General features: G+C 57.7%; 2 protein-coding genes across 17 annotated transcripts in view, besides 6 other annotated features; one reads left to right on the top strand and one right to left on the bottom strand.

The window, feature by feature from the left end:
- Positions 1 to 6068, top strand: part of ZBTB48 (zinc finger and BTB domain containing 48) — a 9287-nt gene extending 3219 nt beyond the window's left edge. For 11 of the 15 annotated variants that reach the window (XM_047418864.1, XM_047418868.1, NM_005341.4 and 8 more), the window contains 8 exons: positions 2707 to 2818; positions 3483 to 3575; positions 3993 to 4079; positions 4266 to 4420; positions 4848 to 4984; positions 5066 to 5230; positions 5544 to 5632; positions 5704 to 6068. In XM_047418864.1, the coding sequence (XP_047274820.1) occupies positions 2707 to 2818; positions 3483 to 3575; positions 3993 to 4079; positions 4266 to 4420; positions 4848 to 4984; positions 5066 to 5230; positions 5544 to 5632; positions 5704 to 6000 (1135 nt within the window). In that variant the 3' untranslated portion in view covers positions 6001 to 6068. Of the gene's footprint in view, positions 1 to 2706; positions 2819 to 3364; positions 3576 to 3992; positions 4080 to 4265; positions 4421 to 4847; positions 4985 to 5065; positions 5231 to 5543; positions 5633 to 5703 lie in introns of those variants that run through there. The other 4 variants (XM_047418886.1, XM_047418865.1, XM_017001111.3 and 1 more) reach the window with 4 other exon arrangements.
- Positions 6069 to 7511: 1443 nt separating this feature from the next.
- KLHL21 (kelch like family member 21) lies at positions 7512 to 19657 on the bottom strand. 2 transcript variants are annotated; one of them, NM_014851.4, is made up of 4 exons: positions 18585 to 19657; positions 15835 to 16240; positions 12273 to 12345; positions 7512 to 10446 (listed from the first exon to the last, which is right to left on the bottom strand). In NM_014851.4, the coding sequence occupies exons 1-4, from the start codon at positions 19603 to 19605 to the stop codon at positions 10153 to 10155; spliced, it is 1794 nt and encodes a 597-aa protein (NP_055666.2). In that variant the 5' UTR covers positions 19606 to 19657; the 3' UTR covers positions 7512 to 10152. The 2 variants fall into 2 exon arrangements, with proteins under 2 accessions (NP_055666.2, NP_001311238.1); NM_001324309.2 differs by having other exon boundaries at positions 7512 to 10898.
- Positions 15718 to 16917: an enhancer, noted in NCBI's record as "CDK7 strongly-dependent group 2 enhancer chr1:6658990-6660189 (GRCh37/hg19 assembly coordinates)". NCBI's record gives its function as "activates an origin of replication core promoter dependent on BRD2, BRD4, P300/CBP, MED14 and CDK7 cofactors, with strong dependence on CDK7, by STARR-seq in HCT116 cells {active_cell/tissue: HCT116}" and the evidence as "EXISTENCE:reporter gene assay evidence [ECO:0000049][PMID:35650434]".
- Positions 18173 to 18312: an enhancer, noted in NCBI's record as "active region_84". NCBI's record gives its function as "activates an Ori minimal core promoter by ATAC-STARR-seq in GM12878 lymphoblastoid cells {active_cell/tissue: GM12878}" and the evidence as "EXISTENCE:reporter gene assay evidence [ECO:0000049][PMID:35858748]".
- Positions 18343 to 18392: an enhancer, noted in NCBI's record as "active region_85". NCBI's record gives its function as "activates an Ori minimal core promoter by ATAC-STARR-seq in GM12878 lymphoblastoid cells {active_cell/tissue: GM12878}" and the evidence as "EXISTENCE:reporter gene assay evidence [ECO:0000049][PMID:35858748]".
- Positions 18653 to 18732: a silencer, noted in NCBI's record as "silent region_164". NCBI's record gives its function as "represses an Ori minimal core promoter by ATAC-STARR-seq in GM12878 lymphoblastoid cells {active_cell/tissue: GM12878}" and the evidence as "EXISTENCE:reporter gene assay evidence [ECO:0000049][PMID:35858748]".
- Positions 18913 to 19072: a silencer, noted in NCBI's record as "silent region_165". NCBI's record gives its function as "represses an Ori minimal core promoter by ATAC-STARR-seq in GM12878 lymphoblastoid cells {active_cell/tissue: GM12878}" and the evidence as "EXISTENCE:reporter gene assay evidence [ECO:0000049][PMID:35858748]".
- Positions 19673 to 20062: a silencer, noted in NCBI's record as "silent region_166". NCBI's record gives its function as "represses an Ori minimal core promoter by ATAC-STARR-seq in GM12878 lymphoblastoid cells {active_cell/tissue: GM12878}" and the evidence as "EXISTENCE:reporter gene assay evidence [ECO:0000049][PMID:35858748]".

Consider the following 20136-nt stretch of genomic DNA (forward strand, 5'->3'; position numbering starts at 1 on the left):
TCTCCTGACCTTGTGATCCACCCGCCTTGGCCTCCCAAAGTGCTGGGATTACAGGTGTGAGCCACCATGCTCAGCCTATGTTGTTTTTCATTTTATTTTATTTTTTTGAGACGGAGTCTCACTCTGTTGCCAGGCTGGAGTGCAGTGGCATGAGATCGGCTCACTGCAACCTCCGCCTCCTGGGTTCAAGCGATTCTCCTGTCTCAGCCTCCCGAGTAGCTGGGATTACAGGTGCCTGCCACCACGCCTGGCTAATATTTGTATTTTTAGTAGAGATGGGGCTTCACTATCTTGGCCAGGCTGGTCTTGAACTCCTGACCTTGTGATCCACCTGCCTCGGCCTCCCAAAGTGCTGGGACTACAGGCATGAGCCACTGCGCCCAGCCTGTTATTTTTTTTTTTTTTTTTGAGACAGTCTCACTGTGTCGCCCAGGTTGGAGTGCAGTGGCATGATCTTGGCTCACTGCAACTTCTGTCTCCCAGGTTTAAGCGATTCTCCTGCCTCAGCCTCCTCAGTAGCTGGGACTACAGGTGCGCACCACTACGCCCAGCTAATTGTTTTACTTTTTTTTTTTTTTTTTTTTGAGATGGAGTCTCCCCTCTGTCGCCCAGGCTGGAGTGTGGTGGCTCCGTCTAAGCTCACTACAACCTCTGCCTCCCAGGTTCAAGCGATTCTCCTGCCTCAGCCTCCTGAGTAGCTGGGATTACAGGCACGCGCCACCACACCTGGCTAATTTTTTTGTGTGTGTTTAGTAGAGACAGGGTTTCAGCATGTTGGTCAGGCTGGTTTCGAACTCCTGACCTTGTGATCCACCTGCCTCAGCCTCCCAAAGTGCTGGGATTACAGGCGTGAGCCACCGTGCCCAGCCATTTTTTTACTTTTTAGTAGTGATGGGTTTCACCATATTGGCCAGGCTGATCTCAAACTCCTGACCTTGCGATCCACCTGCCTTAGCTTCCCAAAGTGCTGGGATTACAGGCGAGAGCCACCGTGCCCAGCCCCCAGGGACTATTTTAACTTAAAATTTAAAATTAAATAAAAATTCAGTTCCTCAGATACGTTAGCCAAATCTGAAGTGGTGAGGAACCACGTGTCTCCTGGTGGCTGAATCGGGCAGTGCTGACATAGCACATTTCCATCATCGTGGAGAATCCCCTTGGGCGGCACTGCTTTGGAGTCCCTGCAAGGCCTGTGGGGATGGCGGCCCAGTGGCATGCCTTCCAGTCCTGCCACTCCCAGCCAAGACATCACTAGTCTATCATGGTGTGTTTTCTTGCCATGCCAGGTTGGGCGGCACACTAGTAATCACCTAGAATGGGAGCCAGGGGGAAACCCGTTCGCTGTCCCTGTGCACCGTGTTCAGGGCAGCTGCTGCCAGTGGAATGCTGGGATAACCCCAGTGTCGGGGGTCCTGGGGCAGCCTGTGTACTGCTGGATGCTTGCTTTCAAGTACTCTGCTGGGGTAAGACTCTGGGGCAGTTTCCATCCCTTCCTTGGGCTTCAGCTTGCTGGACTGGCCCTGAGAACTGGGAGGGGATGGCTTCATGAAGTCATTTTGATGGGGGATGAAGATAGTTGCTGTAGAGGAAGAGGATGAGAGAGCTGCTTGGCCTCTGGAAGGTGGGAGGAGCTGTCGCAGGCTGCACAGGGGCTCTGAGGTCGAGTTCGTTTAGTTCATTGATTAAGCAGTCTACCAGGTGGCCAGCAAGGCTTTGTGGGTGCTTGGGATGCATTTAAGGGAACTAAACAAAGGTGCTTGTGCAGCCGACCTGCTTGCCAGGCAATGCAGATAACAGATAAGTCCATCTGCCTGCAGTAGACGGTGAGGAAGTGCTGCCGAAGAAGAAAAAGCAGAGGCGGGCCAAGGGGTTGGGGAGTTGTGAGTGGGGTTCGATTGCGATTTTAAGTAGCCAGGGTCTCTAGAGTCTTACTGAGAAGGTGAGATTTAAGCAAAGACTCAAAGGAGGTGAGGAAGTTGACCAAGTGGGTGACTGGGGAGCATCTGGGCAGAGAGAAGAGCCAGGGCGCTGGGGTAGGAGGATCCTGGGGGCGTGACAGGCAGCAAGGAGGCACATGCCTGATCCAGGTGGCCAGACGACACCCTGGGAGAGAAGCAGGCAAGGGGAGGGCTGCCTGCGCCTTGATAGGCCTCCCGGGCCCTTTCTCTGAATGGGGAAGCACTGGGGATACGTGAGCCAAGAGGTACTGAGGTCTGACTTAAAGGTCCTTCTGGCTCCTGAACTGAAACCTGTGGGGGAGGCAGTCACGGAGCGGGGAGACCAGATGGGCAGCTCCCCTGGCTACCTGGGAGAAGCTGTTGCCAGCCTTGGTGGGCCAGTGGAGTCAGGTGAGGATCTGGCCATGGGTTTGAAGCTCTGGGAAGACTGAGTTGCTTCTCCAATAGTCAGGACCCAAGATCTGTTTCTGCCTTCAGACAGAATGCGGTCAGCTGGGCCTCCCTGTCGGCCTCTGTGCTGGCCAGATCCATGGCAGCCTCTTAGGACCTGTGTGAGCTTCTTGCCACTGCACTCTCCCTTGCAGAGTCTCCATGCTGGGGGAGGCTTCTGGGCTTGTCCCTGCACCTTAACCAGCCGGTGTCACCTGAGAACACTTGTTCCCCTTAGAAGGGACCCAGAGGGGGCCCTGGGTGAGGGAGAGATGGGAAACCCTCTCAGCCCCCCCACCCCTGTGGCTTCTCCTGGCAGGAAACATACTGGGGAGAAACCCTTTGAGTGTCCCAAATGTGGGAAGTGTTACTTTCGGAAGGAGAACCTCCTGGAGCATGAAGCCCGGAATTGCATGAACCGCTCGGAACAGGTACTTGGGAGCTGGCCCAGGTACTTGTGGGCAGGGCACACTGGCCTCTCTGTCTTCGTGCCATCCGGGAAGGGCCCCAGGAGACTGTCTGAGAGGGGTACTGTAAACTCAGGAAAGCTGTGGGGTCCTTGGATGTCATGAGGTCCATGCCCTGGTACAGGTGGGGACACAGGTCCTGAGGGCGGAAGGGACAGGCATAGGAGGGACTCTGTGGGAGGCATTTGGGGTTGGCTTTCCTAGGCCCCTGGCCCACCTCCACCTTGGCTTTGGAGAAGGGGAGCCGCTACAGGGGATGGCAGCTGGGAAAGGCCCCCTGGCCACCCCCAGCAACCCCACTGCTGGCTTCTGTGTCAGGGCCCGCCGAAACCCAGGCCCACTCTTCCTAGAGGCCTGTCAGCAGCCACTAGGGCCAGGGACTGTGGGTGAGGCCACTCGGACCCTGCCCCCAGTCTGTCTGGGCCTGAGAAGGGCCTGGTGTGCGGTGGGCTTGCAGCACTCAGTGATGGTCAGGCCAGGCAGGTTATGTGTTGCCCTCTCCCACCCTAGCGTCCCCACCCTCCCCAGGCAGACTCTTCCCAGCAGCAAGCGGAAGCCCGGGCAGAGGCTGCTGTCATAGGCAGAGGCCCCCGCTGATGCCGGCCCTGCTTGCCCCTCACACTGCCAGGTCTTCACGTGCTCTGTGTGCCAGGAGACATTCCGCCGAAGGATGGAGCTGCGGGTGCACATGGTGTCTCACACAGGGGAGATGCCCTACAAGGTCAGGCTTGGCCTGTCTCCAGGGCCAGGGTTGGGTGGCCCCAGGATCCTTCCTGCTGAGCCCTTTACGTGGGGTGCTGTCAGGCACCTCCCTCACAGTAGCTGTCAGGGAGCCTGCCTTCCCTGCCTTCCCTGCCTTTCCAGTGCCCCCTTATCTAGGCAGGGCTACTGTCTGCAGCCTCACCTCCAAGGTCCTTATTAGGCCCTTGTTTCTTTCCATGGAGGACAGGCTTGGCATCCTCTGGGCAGCTGAGCCCTGAGGGCCCTCCTTTGCACCATCCTTCACACCAGATCAGGGGTCCTCCCAGAATCATCTCACCGGGGCCTCCCTCTAGTTCCTGCCCTATAGCCCAAGGGTGGGTGGCAGGGTTTCATGGGTGCAGGCCGCCCTGGAGGTGACTGTGGGCCTCTTTTTCAGTGTTCCTCCTGCTCCCAGCAGTTCATGCAGAAGAAGGACTTGCAGAGCCACATGATCAAACTTCATGGAGCCCCCAAGCCCCATGCAGTAAGTGACAGGGAGGGCTGGGCATGCTTTGATGCTGGCATGAGCAAGAGTGAGCTGTGCCCAGAGTGGGCAGCCGGCCATGTACTTTCTGTTGTTCGGGGGGGTGCTTGTGGGTCTCCCAGGCAGCCCTTCCCTGCTCTCACCCTGGCCCTGGTCCCTCCCTCTGCCTGCCTGGTCTGCCTGCAGTGCCCCACCTGTGCCAAGTGCTTCCTGTCTCGGACAGAGCTGCAGCTGCATGAAGCTTTCAAGCACCGTGGTGAGAAGCTGTTTGTGTGTGAGGAGTGTGGGCACCGGGCCTCGAGCCGGAATGGCCTGCAGATGCACATCAAGGCCAAGCACAGGTGCGTGTCGCCCGTTCTCTCTTGGGGCCCAGTCCTGCTGCCAGCCCAGGCTTGCACCGGCAGGGAAGACAGAGTTTGCTGACTTTTACACAGATGAGTGTGCCCTTGGCCTCCACCCTGAATCTAGTGCCTACAGCCTCTCTGGGATAGTGGGACCTGAGGGGCAAGCAGCTATGCCAGGCAGAGAGGCTGGGGGCAGATGTTTCAGGCTCAGACAAGCCTCTGTGCCCCCGGGGCAGATTCTGAGCTTCCTTAGTTTCCTGTGACTCCTGCTCATAGATTGTCCTTCTGCTCTCGGGGTGGAGGTGGTGCCCCTTTCCTAGCACTGCCCAAGCCCTCTTTCCACCAGGCATGCTCCTAGCTGTAGCAGAGCAAGGGGGTCACTTCCCTTGGTGATGGCCTCTGCCCCATGTCCCCACCTTAACAGGAATGAGAGGCCACACGTATGTGAGTTCTGCAGCCACGCCTTCACCCAAAAGGCCAATCTCAACATGCACCTGCGCACACACACGGGTGAGAAGCCCTTCCAGTGCCACCTCTGTGGCAAGACCTTCCGAACCCAAGGTGAGGTACGCCCTGCCCCTCCCCTCGCCTCCCCATCCTGAGGCCAAGGCCACAGGCTGAGCTCTTGCCTTGTGCCTGCAGCCAGCCTGGACAAGCACAACCGCACCCACACCGGGGAAAGGCCCTTCAGTTGCGAGTTCTGTGAACAGCGCTTCACTGAGAAGGGGCCCCTCCTGAGGCACGTGGCCAGCCGCCATCAGGAGGGCCGGCCCCACTTCTGCCAGATATGCGGCAAGACCTTCAAAGGTACCTGGGCGGCCCTGGGAGAGCCATTTCCTGCTCATCCGAGTTGGAGGGTCTCTGAGGAGGAAACGCTCCTTTCTTGCCTGTGAACCTCTTTTGTGCCCCACATGGTTAGAGTTGAGAGTGGACCTGCTTTGAAGGCAGGGGTGTCCTGTGCAGTAGTGACCCTGGGTGGCACTGGAGAGCCTGGCAGGGCCTGTGCAGCACTTGTAAACCACTGGTCCCCTCCCTTGCTGCCTGTCCCAACCTCCTGCTGGGTTTCCTCGAGGGTCCCGGGGCTCCTGCATGATCCCCCACGGTGTTCTCCCTCTTGCAGCCGTGGAGCAACTGCGTGTGCACGTCAGACGGCACAAGGGGGTGAGGAAGTTTGAGTGCACCGAGTGTGGCTACAAGTTTACCCGACAGGTAGGCCAGGGCCTGGGCCCCTTCCCCTACCCTAGGATCCCCCAAAGTTCTGAGCTCACCCTCCCCGCCAGGCCCACCTGCGGAGGCACATGGAGATCCACGACCGGGTAGAGAACTACAACCCGCGGCAGCGCAAGCTCCGCAACCTGATCATCGAGGACGAGAAGATGGTGGTGGTGGCGCTGCAGCCGCCTGCAGAGCTGGAGGTGGGCTCGGCGGAGGTCATTGTGGAGTCCCTGGCCCAGGGCGGCCTGGCCTCCCAGCTCCCCGGCCAGAGACTGTGTGCAGAGGAGAGCTTCACCGGCCCAGGTGTCCTGGAGCCCTCCCTCATCATCACAGCTGCTGTCCCCGAGGACTGTGACACATAGCCCATTCTGGCCACCAGAGCCCACTTGGCCCCACCCCTCAATAAACCGTGTGGCTTTGGACTCTCGTATTTCAGCCTGACAGTCTGTTCCCGTGTCCTGGAGTTGGGGAAGTGCTGCCTTCCCACCCACGCCTTCAGGAGAGAGTAGTGCCCTGCCCGGTCCTATGTGGGCCTCAGCTCAGCTGGCAGCTTCCCCTCCTGTCAGGAAACCTCAGCTGAGCGAGGCTTGGATGGGGTTCCTTTGGGGGCCAAACCTCTGGCCTTGGCTGCTCTCCACATCTGTATTCTGTTCCTCATTACTGCAGGATTTTAGAGTGGGGAACGCTGGCCAGTTAGAGCACCAGTATTCCTATTTTAGAGCTGAGGTGATACCGGCTTCTGGAGATAGAATTCATTACTAAGCTTCTGGAGTTCAGTAGAGTGATCAGGGCCCACGGGGCTGGCCTTGTTGGGCAGAATCAAGGATTGGGCCCAGTTAGTGTAGCTGAGCACGCCTGGGGGTCTGAGGAGGGTGGGGCCCTTCCTTCAAGCAGCCTGGTCTGTGTCCAGGAGGCTTTGGTCCCCACGTTCTATAGCTGTGGGGTACTGTGTGGCAAGGAGCAAATGCACGTGGGCCTTAGAGCAGATTGCTGTTGTTTAAATTTCTTCCCAACTAAGTTGGCCCTGGGTAAGTTACTGACAGCTTCATTTCTCTACTGAAAATACAAAATTGCTGGGTGTGGTGGTGCATCAGGAGGCTGAGGCACGAGAATCCCTTGAACCCAGGAGGCGAAGGATGTAGGGAGCCGAGATTGCACCACTGCATTCCAACCTAGGCAACAGAATGAGACCTTGTCTTTAAAAAACAACAACAAAAAAAAGAGGCCCACTGTGGTCTCAACACTGCTCTCCTTCCCAGCCGAGACACTGGCCTCTCCCTCAGGTTCAGATGGACTCTGCAGATAGGAAAAACATCTTGAGCCAGACGGCTTGTGTGGATTCACAGCCTGGTTTGGGACTGTATTTGAAGGGCTCCACCTCCCCAGGTCCAAGGGCCATCTCATCGCAGATGGGAGTCTCATCACCACCTGTATGTACCGCAATCTCAAGAAGGGCTGTGGGAGCCGGGCCCGGGCAGAGGACCAACAGGCAAAGACCAGCTTTGGAGCAGGCAGGTTTCCTGGGCATCATCTGTTCCACAGCATTTACTTCTCAGGCCTCTCTCTTTAAATGGAGACAAGGTCTTCCCGTATTGCTCAGGGTGGTCTTGAACCCCTGGGCTCAAGTGATCCTCCCTCTTCAGCCTCCCAAAGCACTGGGATTGCAGGTGTGAGCCACCACACCCAGCCTCTGGGGCATGTCTTTTCCAACGCTTCATCACTTGCTACAATCTGAGATGAGAAAGGGCCTGGAAGGCTGTTTAAGACCCTCAGTGTGAACCCTGGGCTCCATGCTGCCTGTTCCCCTGACATCTGTCCTCAGCCCAAGAGTCCCAGAAGACAGTAGCAGGAGGACAAAGGCAATGACTCCAAATGGATAGGAAATACTTTTATTGCAAAAAGTACTGAAGGTACCCTAAAACCTTAAGCAGGATTCTGGACATGGAAGCCTACAGAATAGACAAAAATAAATATGTCAACCTGCCCGACCCTCTGGGGTGAACTGGATGTGGACACTGGAGGGAGGGCGTCCTTTATTACATACGCGTCTCTGAAGTCATATAAATATAGAATACCTTATAGTAGATCAGCATTAAATACCAGTCACTGTGTTTATATAACTTAATTTGTGCTGTAGACAAAGTTCTGTACATGTAACATGTGGCCATGCCCAGGCATCCCAGCATCTATCCTGAAGTCAGTGTAAAGACATCCTTAAGTGGTGGAGACATGACAGCCCAGAACCCACAGCAGAGGGAAACTGGGGAGAGGAGGGGGCCTGACCCTGGATCCCCCAGCTGGTGTCCACAGGCTAGAGGGACCCATTGCTGCAGAGGCTGGTGCCTGGTTTTCCCCATACTTGGTCTTCTAAACCCAAAGACAGGGTCCTGATGGTGGAGACCTGGGTAGGTCCGGAGGACAGACACAGGAGAGGGCACAATCCCAAGCGCAGCTCTCCTGCACTGGCTCGCACCACAGCCCTCATCTGAGTGGCCGACACAAGCCTGGAGTACGGCAGCTGCCAACCACAGCAAAGCCGCAAAAAAGACTGAGAAAACAGGAACCCAGAGTTCCACAGGGGCAAGGCCTCGCAGACCAGCCAAGCCCGAGATGCCCTGTGCTGGCAGTCATCACAGTCTGGACAGCATGTCCTTCCGTGGGTGCCCAGCTCAGTGCCTGGAACGGTCAGGGATTGAGGGCGTAGCCAACCTTGTATGGCCAAACCCAGCCCTTACGCCCCTGCTGACAAGGGAGACAAGCTGCCCCGCTGAACTCCAACAACCTCTGGGTGGGCTCAGCAGCCCCTAGGAAGTTAAGCGAGAGCTACAGGGCAGGGGGGCTCCCTGAGGGAGTTTGCACAGACCAGGAGGGGCCAAGGGGTAGCCCCAAGGGAGCAGAGGAAGGAGAAGGGCAGGAAAAGGTCCAGGGCACAGGGCAAGCAACAGTGCCAGAGGGTGCCTGGTCACAGGAAGCCCAGCTGCATGTTCCATGCTGCCCACAGGACTCCCAGCCAGGCCCCAGCAGGCCTGGACAGTGCTGGGCCCCCATCCTCGGCCTTCCCAGCACAGCAGGTGCTGGAAGATGACCATGACCCAAGCGAGAAGAGCCGCCATGAACTGTGGTCATACCAGCCAGGGCGTTCTAGGACAAGACTTCCTAACCCGACAGCAATGACATCCACAGTGTATGGACTGGGCTCTTGAGGAGCACGAGGGAGAGGCCAGGCAGCCCTGTCAGGGGTCCTGGGACATATTAAGGCAACCAGCCACGCCATCTGGCCAGCACAAGGGACTTAAGTGCAATCTGCTAAGTGACAGTGCTAAGACTGTCTTCCTGCTGAGAACATCTCTACGAGTTAGTTCACTAGAAAAGGCAATAAACATTTGCTTTAACCTTCTTTAACCAGGAAAATGCAGTCTAAATGCCCTCTTCTCTAAAAAGGAGGCAAGGACAAAAACTCAAGCCAAGGCTACTTTGGGTACTTTGAGGGGAAACTGACCATTTCCAAGAGAAACCCAGGGGCTGCCAAGCTGCGGCATTCACCCTCCTGCAGAAAGCTTTGGCAATGGGACTTCTTAGACTGGACAAATCAAACAAAGCTGACCCTGTAGAGCTCCTTCTTCTTCCCACTTCTTCTAAGGTCAAACTGCAAGCATTTTCAACTTTGGAACCAACCACCAAAGCCACCTCCTGCCCAGGACTTCCTTTAGAAGCAGTGGGACTCCTCACGCGCAGGCCCAGCAAGGGCTTGGGCACCCGCAGCTGTCTGCTTGGCTGGGTGTCAATGATCACCTCCCAGGGCCTCCCGGGAAGGAGAGGGTGAGAGGTGAGGACGCAAGAGCCAGTCAGGGGGTAGGAGCAGGGGGCTATGGCTGAGGAGGCCCAGCATCTGATAGGACCACATCCTCTTCACCCTCCAAGCCCACACCCCTGCTCATGTCCCACTGTTCTGGGTGCAGCCTCTGGAGGGCAGCCCTCTGAGGTGTTTTGATGTAAGCCCCTGGCAGGGGCCAGGAGCTAGGGAGGCAGGCTCCCCACACCTCTGGACATGGAATTTGGGACCCCACTTCAGCCCGTCTGCCTGGTCCGCTGCTCCAGGTTCAGGCCATCCTCAGCCTCATGGGAGGACCCCTTCTCCCTTCACGCGTCCCTCCCAAGTCATCGTCCTCTCCCAAGGTGGGAACAAGTAGGTGCAGATGACAACGGCAGGAGGGGTGTGCGCCGCGTGGGTGAGCTGTGATCCGCGGGGTGGGGGTGACCTCCAAGACCCAGAAACATGTGCTGGCAGGAAAGTGGCTCTTCCTCAACTGCAGGGAGGGCGTTCCCGACGGCCTCTGATTCAGGCTCTCAAGGTACAGAAACCTTCCAGGTAATGGATCCTGGGCTGGCTTCGCCACCCAAGAGCCTGTGCTCCTCCTGTGAGCCCAACGTGTCCTTGTGCACAAAGGAGTGGGGCACTGCCCCGCAGAGGTGCCAGTTACCTGCACCGAGGCCCGTGCCGGGCCAGACTGGGGCTAGTGCAGCTCATCGGGGTCCCGCGGCGGCCGGGGTCGGCCTGGGTCCATGTCATCGCTGCCACTGTCCAACTCGAAGCCACGCCCACCCGAGAAGGTCTGGGGCATGAACTGGCGGAAGATGCTGACACTGCCATGCCAGAAGGTGGGTTCTGGGAGCCGCCCCACCACGCTCCACGCGCGAGTCTCTGGGTCATAGGCCTCTACCACGTCCGAGAGTTCAAATGTATTGTCGTATCCCCCAGAGACGTACAGCTTCCCCCCAAGGACGGCCAGGCTGCCCCCCACATGTACCTGTGGGCCAAAGGGATGAGTGAGTGGAGGTCAGAGGAGAGGGTAGGGCAGGGCCCCACCTGGGGAACCACTGGAGACAAGGCATGCCCTGTCAGTACCCCAGAGGGGTGGCCTTGGCTCTCCCAGAAAGCAGCAGAGAGGCCAACCCCTTTCCAACACCCTGCCTAGGAGAACGGGCCTCCCCGGAGGCAGCTGGGCCTTCCCTATGGTGATGAGGGTGCCCGCTGCAGCGCCAGGCCTCCCCGTGTGCAGGTCGTGCCGAGCAGCGCTTCCTACGTTCTCTCTCAGAATCTCTGCAGTGGCCCTCTGGGCTGAGCAGTGCTGTTCTCCCCATGTTACAGATGGGAAAACTGAGGCTTGCATGGCTGACAGTGGCAGAGCTGGGCTCTGAACCGCGAGGCTGGATGATTCCTTCCATCTTTCCCAAATTCGCTATGACTATGTGCAGCTTACTGCGGGGAAAACAGAACGCTGGGTCTCTTAAATGCCAGGACATTAAGCTGTGATGTAAGCTGTGAGGCTGGATGTCACGGAGTGTAGGTTTGGAAATGTTAACAGACACACAGGAAAGAAGGCTGTAGGCAATATGATGTGTACCTCAGACTAACACTGCTCACATGGCCAAATGGCACTGAAGCCTCCCTGTCCCATCACTGTCAGGCTGGGCACCCCTCTTCTCAACAAGCCCAGAGAGAAGGGGTGGACCCTGGTTGTCCTATTCAGAACACACAGCAAGTGCTCAACACAAGTATTCCCACAGTGGGCTGGGCATGGTGGCTCATGCCTGTAATCCCAGCACTTTGGGAGGCTGAGCCAGGCAGATCACAAGGTCAGGAGATCCAGACCATCCTGGCTAACACAGTGAAATCCCGTCTCTACTAAAAATACACAAACAAAATTAGCTGGGCGTGGTGGTGGGTACCTGTAGTCCCAGCTACTCGGGAGGTTGAGGCGGGAGAATGGCGTGAACCTGGGAGATGGAGCTTGCAGTGAGCCGAGATCGTGCCACTGCACTCCAGCCTGGGTGACAGAGCGAGACTCCGTATAAAAAAAAAAAAAGTATTCCCACACTGACTTCCTCAGGAACCAGCTGGGCGTGGTGGTTCACGCCTATAATCCTAGCACTTTGGGAGGCTGAGACAGGAGGGTCACTTGAGGCCAGGAGTGTGAGACCAGCCTGGGTAACACAGCAAGACCCTGTCTCTATAAAAATTTTAAGAATATCCTTTTGTATCTACATATGAGAAAAAAAATTACTGGGTGTGGTGGCACACGCCTGTAGTCTCAGCTATTCAGGAAGGTGCGGTGGGAGGACTGCGAGTCAAGGAGGTGGAGGCTGCAGTGAGCCATGATTGTACCACTGCACTCCAGCCTGGGTGACAGAGCAAGACCCTGTCTCAAAAATAAAAAAGGTAGGTCACAGACCTCATGCTGACTCTGCTCCGGCCACATGGGCTGCTGGTGTATCTAAGAACACGCCAGGGTGCCCTGCTGCAGGGCCTCTGTACCTGCTGTCCCTCTCTGGAACAGGTGTCCCCAGATGACTGTATGCCTTGCTCCCTCACTTCCTTCTGCTCTCTGGCTCACAGCAGATACTCAATAAACACTGCTCAAATGTGTACTAAGCTGTGTAATCATAGGGTATTACTTAACATCTGTGTCTCAGTGAGCCTTAAGTGCAAAATAAGGGTAAGAGCAGCCTTCTATTAATTGAGATGAGACCCACCCATCATGGCTGTGGATCCCAAACACTCATCACGATGACACTTGGGTTGCAAAATCAGGACCAGCCTGTGCTTCCAATGCTGGCCCGCCTGAAAATTTACCTGATTCATGGACGGGATCTTGTCCCATTCGTTCCTCGTCGGGTTGTACACGTCCACCTCAGCGGAGTCATCCCTGTGGAGGGGGCAGCAGGAGGACAACTGCTCAGAGCGAGGAGGAAGTGCACACATGCAGGGCTGGAGCAGAGTCCTCCCCTGGGTCACTGACTCCTCCAGTGACCTGGATCTTTCTGATGCCATCCAGCAGCACCCTTGCCAGGTAGGCTCCATCCCCAGCTCTTAGGAGCCAATTTCAGCCCCCTGTGCCCACTCAGCCAGGGCTCCAGGGCCAGAACTCTCACTCCCAAACCTGAAGATCAGGCTTTTGAGTACTTGAAGCCCATTCAGTGCCTCCCCATCACCCAGTACCAAGGTGGCTGTCCCCCACCCCCCAAGCCTACAGTAGCTCCCTTGAGATCTTAAAGAAGCCTCCTTGCTCCACTGTGCATCCCCACAGGCCCTGGAACACTCCTTGCCACTGTCCCCAATATCACTATGAGCCCCCAACCCTGTCCTGTTCACTACTATGTTGAAGTACCCCTCACTTTGGGGTCAAGACCCTTCAACTTCATCTGACACCCTTTATATCCCCACAGTAAAAGGCTCAAAGGCACAGCCTTGAAAAGCAAAGATGCAGGCCAGGCACTGTGGCTCACGCCTGTAATGCAGCACTTTGGGAGGCCGAGGCTGGTGGAGTGCCTGAGGTCAGGAGTTCGAGACCAGTCTGGCCAACACGATGAAACCCCGTCTCTAGTGAAAATACAAAAATTAGCCAGGTGTGGTGGCATGTGCCTGTAATACCAGCTGCTCAGGAGGCTGAGGTAGGAAAATCGCTTGAACCCGGGTGGCTGAGGCAGGAGAATCTCTTGAACCCGGGAGGCGGAGATTACAGTGAGCCAAGAGCGTGCTATTGCACTCCAGCCTGGGAGGCATAGTGAGTGAGACTTCGTCTCAAAAACAAAAAAAAGAAACAAAGATACTACAAGACAAACAACAGTAGTTGTGAACCTGACACGGCAGCACAAAACCAGCCACAGACAATGCATAGACACGAGCCTGGCTGTGTGCCAAGAAAACTATCCATGGACAGACATTTACATCTCGTCTAACTTGAAATGTTATTCCTGATTTTTTGCCCCCAATCATTTCAAAATGTCAAAGTCACCCTCAGTTTGTGGGCCCTGTGGTGGTGGTGATGATGATGATGATTACACCCTGGAACCTGCTAGGCTGCCCTGTCTTTCCCCAGCAGAGACTTGCAAACCACAGCCCAGAGGCTGGACAGAGCTCGCCGGCATTCCCAGAGGGGGCTACTGCACCCCAGCCAAGGAGGCATTTTGTACCAGAACCAAGGGGAGGGAGGCCCAGGTCATTTGTGGGTCACATGGACAACGGCTGAGGCTGTGGCCTCCCTGAGAATGGCACGTCCTAGGCACAAGCTGCCCAAAGACAGGTGGTGTTCTGGGCAGAGGGTTATGTGGCTCTTGAAGAGCCAAAGTGCGCAGACAAAGTGACACCGGGACAAATAGCCCAGGGGGACCAGCCCCAAGCAGGGCCCCTGCATGCTTAGCCTTCTCTTTAGGGCTCAAGCAGCTTCCACTCAGGCTGAGCCTGGGCGCCCCTCCTCTGTGCTCCGGCACAGGTCACACTGGTAAGATGAACGCATGCAGCCTTTCCAGAGCACTGCCTCCTCCCACACGTGCAAGTGGCTTAGGAAACCCCTGGAAAGGTCAGCAGTGGGTGGGGGTGGCGGGGCAGACCCTCATGCTTCCCTATGGGAAGGTTAACCCAGCAGGCAGACCTCCCTGGCGCACATCTTCACATCTTGCTCTAGGACAGATGGGGGAGGGGAGGAGGACTCTCAAAGACACTGGGCCTGGAACCACTGCCTAGGGGCCGAAAGGAAGGTTCTGGCCCTCTGATAAGTTGTATTTATAGCCATCTCCACCCCCTCTTTGAAGACACCTTCACAACTTGGGGGAGGGAGAGCCGGGCAAAGGGTCAGATGATGTTTTATAATGGGACCAGAGCTGGCTGAGATTCCAGGGCTTTCTCAGAGCAAGACCATTGGTTCTGGGCATGTGGTGGTGCCCAGCTACTTGCGTGACAAGCAACGCCACCCCTGTTCTTCTTGGTGCTCACTCCAAAAGCCTGGTAAGGAGCCTCCTGTCTGGGGGGATGGTGGGGCAGATGCCAAGGCCAGGGCAGCTCTGGCAGTGCGAGGCAGGGGGCCAAGGAGCAGGGAGCTCACATCCCCCAAGCTCCCCATTCAAAGCCCCAGCACGAAAGGGCACAGTGGGGACTGTCATTCAGTTCTTCCCCTTCCCTCCTGGACCCAGAGCTTCAGGCAGGCTCTAGGCTGGGAGGGAGCAGCAGGATTATGTGAACAAGCAGCGGAGTACAGCAGGGAGGGGCTGCCCCGTGCCATCATTGATGCCCAGAAACCAGCCGGAGGCAGCATTTGGCTGTGACCAGACAGGTCATCAAGGCCAGCAGACATATGATGACCCGCAGGCTGCCTGTCTCTGCTCCGTGCTGCTCAGCCTACAGCCTACTCTTGCTGGAAGAGCTCAACTCCACCACCTGTGAAATCGCTTAAGAAAGCCTGGGGTTTTCCTTAAACCCAAAGGAATGGAACAAGCACTGTGGGCTCCGAAAGACCAGGCCTGGCTGGGTGTGGGGGCTCACACCTACAATCCCAGCACTCTGGGAGGCAGGAAATGTGAGACGATTGTTTGAAGCTAGGAATTTGAGACCAGCCGGGGCAATACAGCGAGACCCTGTCTCTACAAAAAGTTAAAAAATGAGCCAGGTGTGGTGGCTTGTGCCTATAATCCCAGCACTTTGGGAGGCTGAGGCAGCTGGATCACATGAGGTCAGGAGTTCTAGACCAGCCTGACCAACATGGAGAAACCCTGTCTCTACTAAAAATATAAAAATCAGCCAGGCATGGTGGCACATGCCTGTAATCCCAGCTACTTGGCAGGCTGAGGCAGGAGAATGGCTTGAACTTGGGAGGCAGAGGTTGCAGTGAGCCAAGATCGCGCCACTGTACTCCAGCTTGGGCAACAAAAGCGAAACTCTTCTTTTAAAAAAACAAAACAAAACAAAAAAAAACAGACCGGGTGCAGTGGCTCACGCCCGTAATCCCAGCACTTTGGGAGGCCAAGGCGGACCGATCATGAGGTCAGGAGATCAAGACCATCCTGGCTAACACGGTGAAACCCCGTCTCTACAAAAAATACAAAAAAATTAGCCAGGCATGGTGGTGGGCGCCTGTAGTCCCAGCTACTCTGGAGGCTGAGGCAGGAGAATGGCGTGAACCCGGAAGGTGGAGCTTGCAGTGAGCTGAGATTGCGCCACAGCACTCCAGCCTGGGCGACAGAGCGAGACTCCGTCTCAAAAACAAAACAAAACAAAAACAAAGAGACAGACCCAGCCTCCAACCCCAGCTAGGCCTCAGTTTCTCATCTGTGGAAAAGGGAGAACAGCCATGATGTGTGCTTAAGACAGGGCCTGGTAAGAGACACCAAACACACAGTGGGGCTCGGCACCTGGAACTCACCTGACAAAGTACATGAGTCCGTTTAGAGTCGCAGTCTTGGGGGCGAAGGACCAGGGCGGGAGCTGGCCGCAGTCCACCAGCGACCACAGGTCGGTGTCCGGGTCGTAGCACTGCATCACCATGGTCTCCTTGCCAGCCAGGGAGCCGATGGCATAGAGCCGGCCACGGCACGCAGTGGTGGAGCAGTTGTCCATGGGGTAGGTCATGGGCTGCAGGGCCTCCCAGGAGTCAGTGGTGTGGTCATAGCGCTCGGTGCTGTCGGCGGCCACCACGTACAGCAGTCCGTCCAGCACAGAGGAGCTGTGGTACTCGCGGGCCTTCAGCATGGGCGCCACCTCCGCCCACTCATTCACGCTTGAGTTGTACCTCCACACGCAGTCATAGAGCCGGGAGCCATCGGACCCACCTGCCAGGACGCATGACAGGCAGAAGATCAGCCCACTCAGGTGAGTCACCCACCTGCACCCTCCCGAACTTCCGCAAGGGCCTCTGCCTTGGGAGGAATTAACATCACTGGGCTTCACCCCAGACGCACACCCTCTCCCCAAAAGCCCAGGCCACATGTTGTGGCTAAGGCAAAGCACACGCTGACCACTGTCCAGCGAGATGACTGCTGCCAAGCCTCTACCAAACAAAGGTCCTGAGTGCAATGCTGGAAGAATCCAGCAGCCTCCTCTGGACACCGCCCCCCAGCCATACATACACCTCAGCAGACCAGAGCCCTGGGCCTTGGGACAGTTCTCCTGGGGAGCCACAGAGCTTGTCAGCAGGGCACACAGGGACTTGCTCACTAACTCCTAGGCTTCCTGGGCACCCTCCAAGCAAGGTTCTGCCAGGACAAGATGAGCGGAAACCCACTTCCTGCTTTAAGCAAGAGACCTAACGCTACACTGCGAGGCCACTTCTCGATTCTGGTGCAGGTTACAAAGCTGTGTTTGGTTTAGAAAAATCCACGAAGCTGTGTAAGTATAATATATATATATATATTCTTCTGCCTGTATTATTATTATTATTTTTGAGACAGAGTCTTGCTCTGTCACCCAGACTGGAGTGCAGCGGCATGATCTCAGCTTACTGCAACCTCCACCTCCTGGGCTCAAGCAATCCTCCCACCTCAGCCTCCTGAGTGGCTGGGACAACAGGCACATGCCGCCACACCCAGCTAATTTTTGTATTTTTTGTACAGACGGGGTTTCGCCATGTTGTCCAGGCTGGTCTCGAACTCCTGAGCTGAAGTGATCCACCCACCTTGATATCCCAAAGTGCTGGGATTACAAAGAGCCACTGCACCCGGCCCGTATTTTCAATTTCAATAAAAAGCTAAGAATAAAAAGTGGTACTGGCTGTAATCGTAAATTACACCAGGTCTATTAGAAACCCCAGGACATGAAGGGACCCCAAGCATCCTGGGGGCTGTACCCCTTGGCCTCCCAGGCTGGCGCCACAGGACAGAGCGGACAAGACATTCTGTTTCACAGCCCTGAGCTCTAAAGGGAGAAAAGCAAGTTCTTGTTCTTAGGAAGTGAGCTCTGCCGGCCTCCTCCCTTCCATGGAGCTGTGTGAAAGGCAGCTGAAAGGAATGAACCAGCCACCTGCCTAAACCCAAGGGATTAACTGCTCTGCTGGGACATTTATGGAAGGGTGTGCAGAAAGCTGGGGCCAGTGTGGCCAGTTCTGGGAAGAAATTATCTGCTCAAAGCCACTGGTCAGACTTTCAGAAGAGGGGAGGGACACGGTCCCCAATCAACTTGGGGACAACCTTGGATTGGAAAGAGGCACAGATTCTGGCAGAACCCAGCAGAGGCTGGACTCAGAGCAGCAGGCTAAGGAAGCTGTGGCAACAGAATCCAGCAACTGTCCCACCTGACACCTCAGAGCCCCACTGGAACTCGGAGCACGTCCCAGAGTGGGCTCTCTCGCGAACATGCAAGGCTGGGCACAGCAGCTGTGACATCCCAGTCCCCACCTCCTTGCCTGATAACCGCCTCACACGCCTGCCTGGTGGGTTCTTTCCTTATATAGCAGTCACAGAGACCGCCCTTCCTCACCCCGACAAAGGAGGTAGCCTCGTGTTTGAACTGGGATTTATCTTTAATAAAAACCGTAGAAGCCCAAACTCAGGCGGACTGGGACCCGCCTACCATGACTCGGCAGTGTTTTGGGGTTTGGGCCAAGTAACTGGAAGAAAACCTCTTAACATGTGACCATGTTTACAGGCTCCGGGGAGTTCAGCCTAAACACCATGTGACCAGAGCACAGAGCCTAGGTGCAAGCCCAAGGGAACCTTGTCACCGGGTGACAAAGAGTGAGTCAGGGGGCCCGGTGTGGCTCAGCAGGGAGGGAGAAATTCCCCGGCTTGTGGGGAACAGATGCCTCACCGGGCGTCGGCCTCCTGCCCGTCCCTGGATTCCTTAAGGAGAAAAAGAAAGCACCCATTGTGCGGGGTGAATGCCCCAGTATCTTCCAACCAAGTGGGGAGGCACCTCCTGGGCACGGAGTTGGCTCAGCCTGGCAGCCCCGGCCGCACGGGGCACAGAGACCCACAAGCAGCTACTTGTCCCGGCTCACACAAGGGGCCCTTCTTCAAGGTTAAAAGTATCGCCCAGAGACATGTAGTCACCAGAGCCCCAGCTTGGACTCAGGTGCGCCCCTAGGATTCCAGGCTCTGTGCGCTTCCCCCGCGAATAGCTGGGCTCCCGTACCGGCGAGGTTCAACCCCAGAGAGCCTGCCCAGCCCCTGGCCCACTCACCCGTCACGTAGATGTCATTGCCCAGCGCCACGATGCTGTAGCCTCCGCCCAGGTGGTCTGGGAACTCGGCCAGGTAGCGCCACTGACCCGTCTGCGGGTTGTAGCAGTCGACAGTGACCAGCTCGTCACAGTCCTGGTCGCAGCCGCCCACGAGCACGAGGATCTCGGCGAGACCGGTGGACGGGCGAGGACGCATTCGGGGACAGGGCCCGCGGTCGTGGCGGTCGTAGCGCGCCGCCTGGAAGTCGCGCGCCTCGCGCAGCAGGCGCAGGCAGGGTGGGCAGCGCGCCACCAGCGGCTCGGCCTCGACGTGCGCCAACAGGTAGAAGCGGCGCACGAAGGGCAGGCGCACGGCCTCCAGCAGCTGCGGCCAGTGCGCGGCGCGGCGCGGCGGGTCAGCGCGGACCCAGCGCAGCGCCAGCTGGTAGGCGGCCTCCTCCTTGGGCACACACAGCCCGTCGTCCCGCAGGTAGCGCAGCAGGCGCGCCAGTGGCAGCCGCTCCAGCTGCTCGGCGCCCAGCTCGCCCACGTGGCGCAGAATGAACCGCTGCGCCGCGCTCGCCAGTCCCGAGCAGCTGAAGGCCTCAGCGAAGTCCTGCATGTCCAGGCAGTTGGCCAGGTCGAGCTGCTGCTGCAGGAAGGCCCCGCACGCCTCCTTCACGGCCGGGAACTGCAGCAGGTCGGCGGCGCGCAGCAGCGGCTCAGCGTTGTCGCCGCTTACCGCCACGCGGCCCGTGTAGCTGAAGTCCAGCAGCAGCTGCAGCATGTCGGGAGGCACTCCGTGCAGGCGCACCCGCTCGGCGCGGCTCTCGCGCAGCTGCCCCGCGAACATGGCGCGGAAGTAGGGGCTGGCGGCGGCCAGCACCGCACGGTGCGCCGGGAAGTCGCGCCCGCCCGCCGCCTCCAGGGTCACGTCCAGGAACTTGCGCTCGGCGCGCAGCTGGCTCAGGCCGCGCAGCAGGCTCAGGGCGTGCGCGGGGTCCGAGAAGGGAAGCACGGCCAGGGGCGCCGGTCGCTCCATGGCGCCTTCGATAGGTTGTCGAGGACGCCGCGGCCGGGGCCTGCGGAGAGACGCGGCGCGCTAGGCACCGCTGCTATAAATAGGGCGGGGCGCCGCGGCTCTCGAGGGGCGGGATGGGCGGGGAGACGTCTGCACCGCCCCCTTAACCCCTCTGTGCCGGGCGCCACCGCCCCCCGCGAGCGCGGGCTCGCCTGTCCCCCGCGCGGCGCCCGCCCCCGGCTCCGCAGGCTGAGTCACCGCTGTCCGCGGCCGGCTCCCTCCCTCCGCCCTTCTGCGTCTCCCCGCTGACGCCCGGGCCGGGGACAGCGAGTGACAAGTGCCAGGTCCGAGGGCGGCCTCGCCGCGCGCCGGGACCGGGGGCCTCCCGGGGTTGCCCACGACCCACCCGGCCCGGCTGCTGAACCCAACCCGGGAGAGGCGAGCTCGGCCCTGAAACCAAAGCCACCCCTCCTTTCACGCCAGACTTCCCAAGGGCGCCGGCCCAGGTCCCGGGGCGGCTGGGTACAATGGCTTTTTGTTTTGCTTTTGAGT

The sequence above is a fragment of the Homo sapiens genome, chromosome 1 (assembly GCF_000001405.40).
Source record: "Homo sapiens chromosome 1, GRCh38.p14 Primary Assembly".
Lineage (NCBI taxonomy): Eukaryota > Metazoa > Chordata > Mammalia > Primates > Hominidae > Homo > Homo sapiens.

What these genes read in the sequence shown, in the direction of transcription:
- KLHL21 (NM_014851.4), bottom strand. Translation starts at nt 19,605, where the DNA reads ATGGAGCGACCGGCGCCCCTGGCCGTGCTTCCCTTCTCGGACCCCGCG. An exon ending in CAATGACATCTACGTGACGG is followed by an intron (nt 16,241 to 18,584) that starts GTGAGTGGGCCA and finishes GCGTCCTGGCAG; the next exon opens with GTGGGTCCGATGGCTCCCGG. An exon ending in GGACTCATGTACTTTGTCAG is followed by an intron (nt 12,346 to 15,834) that starts GTGAGTTCCAGG and finishes CCCCCTCCACAG; the next exon opens with GGATGACTCCGCTGAGGTGG.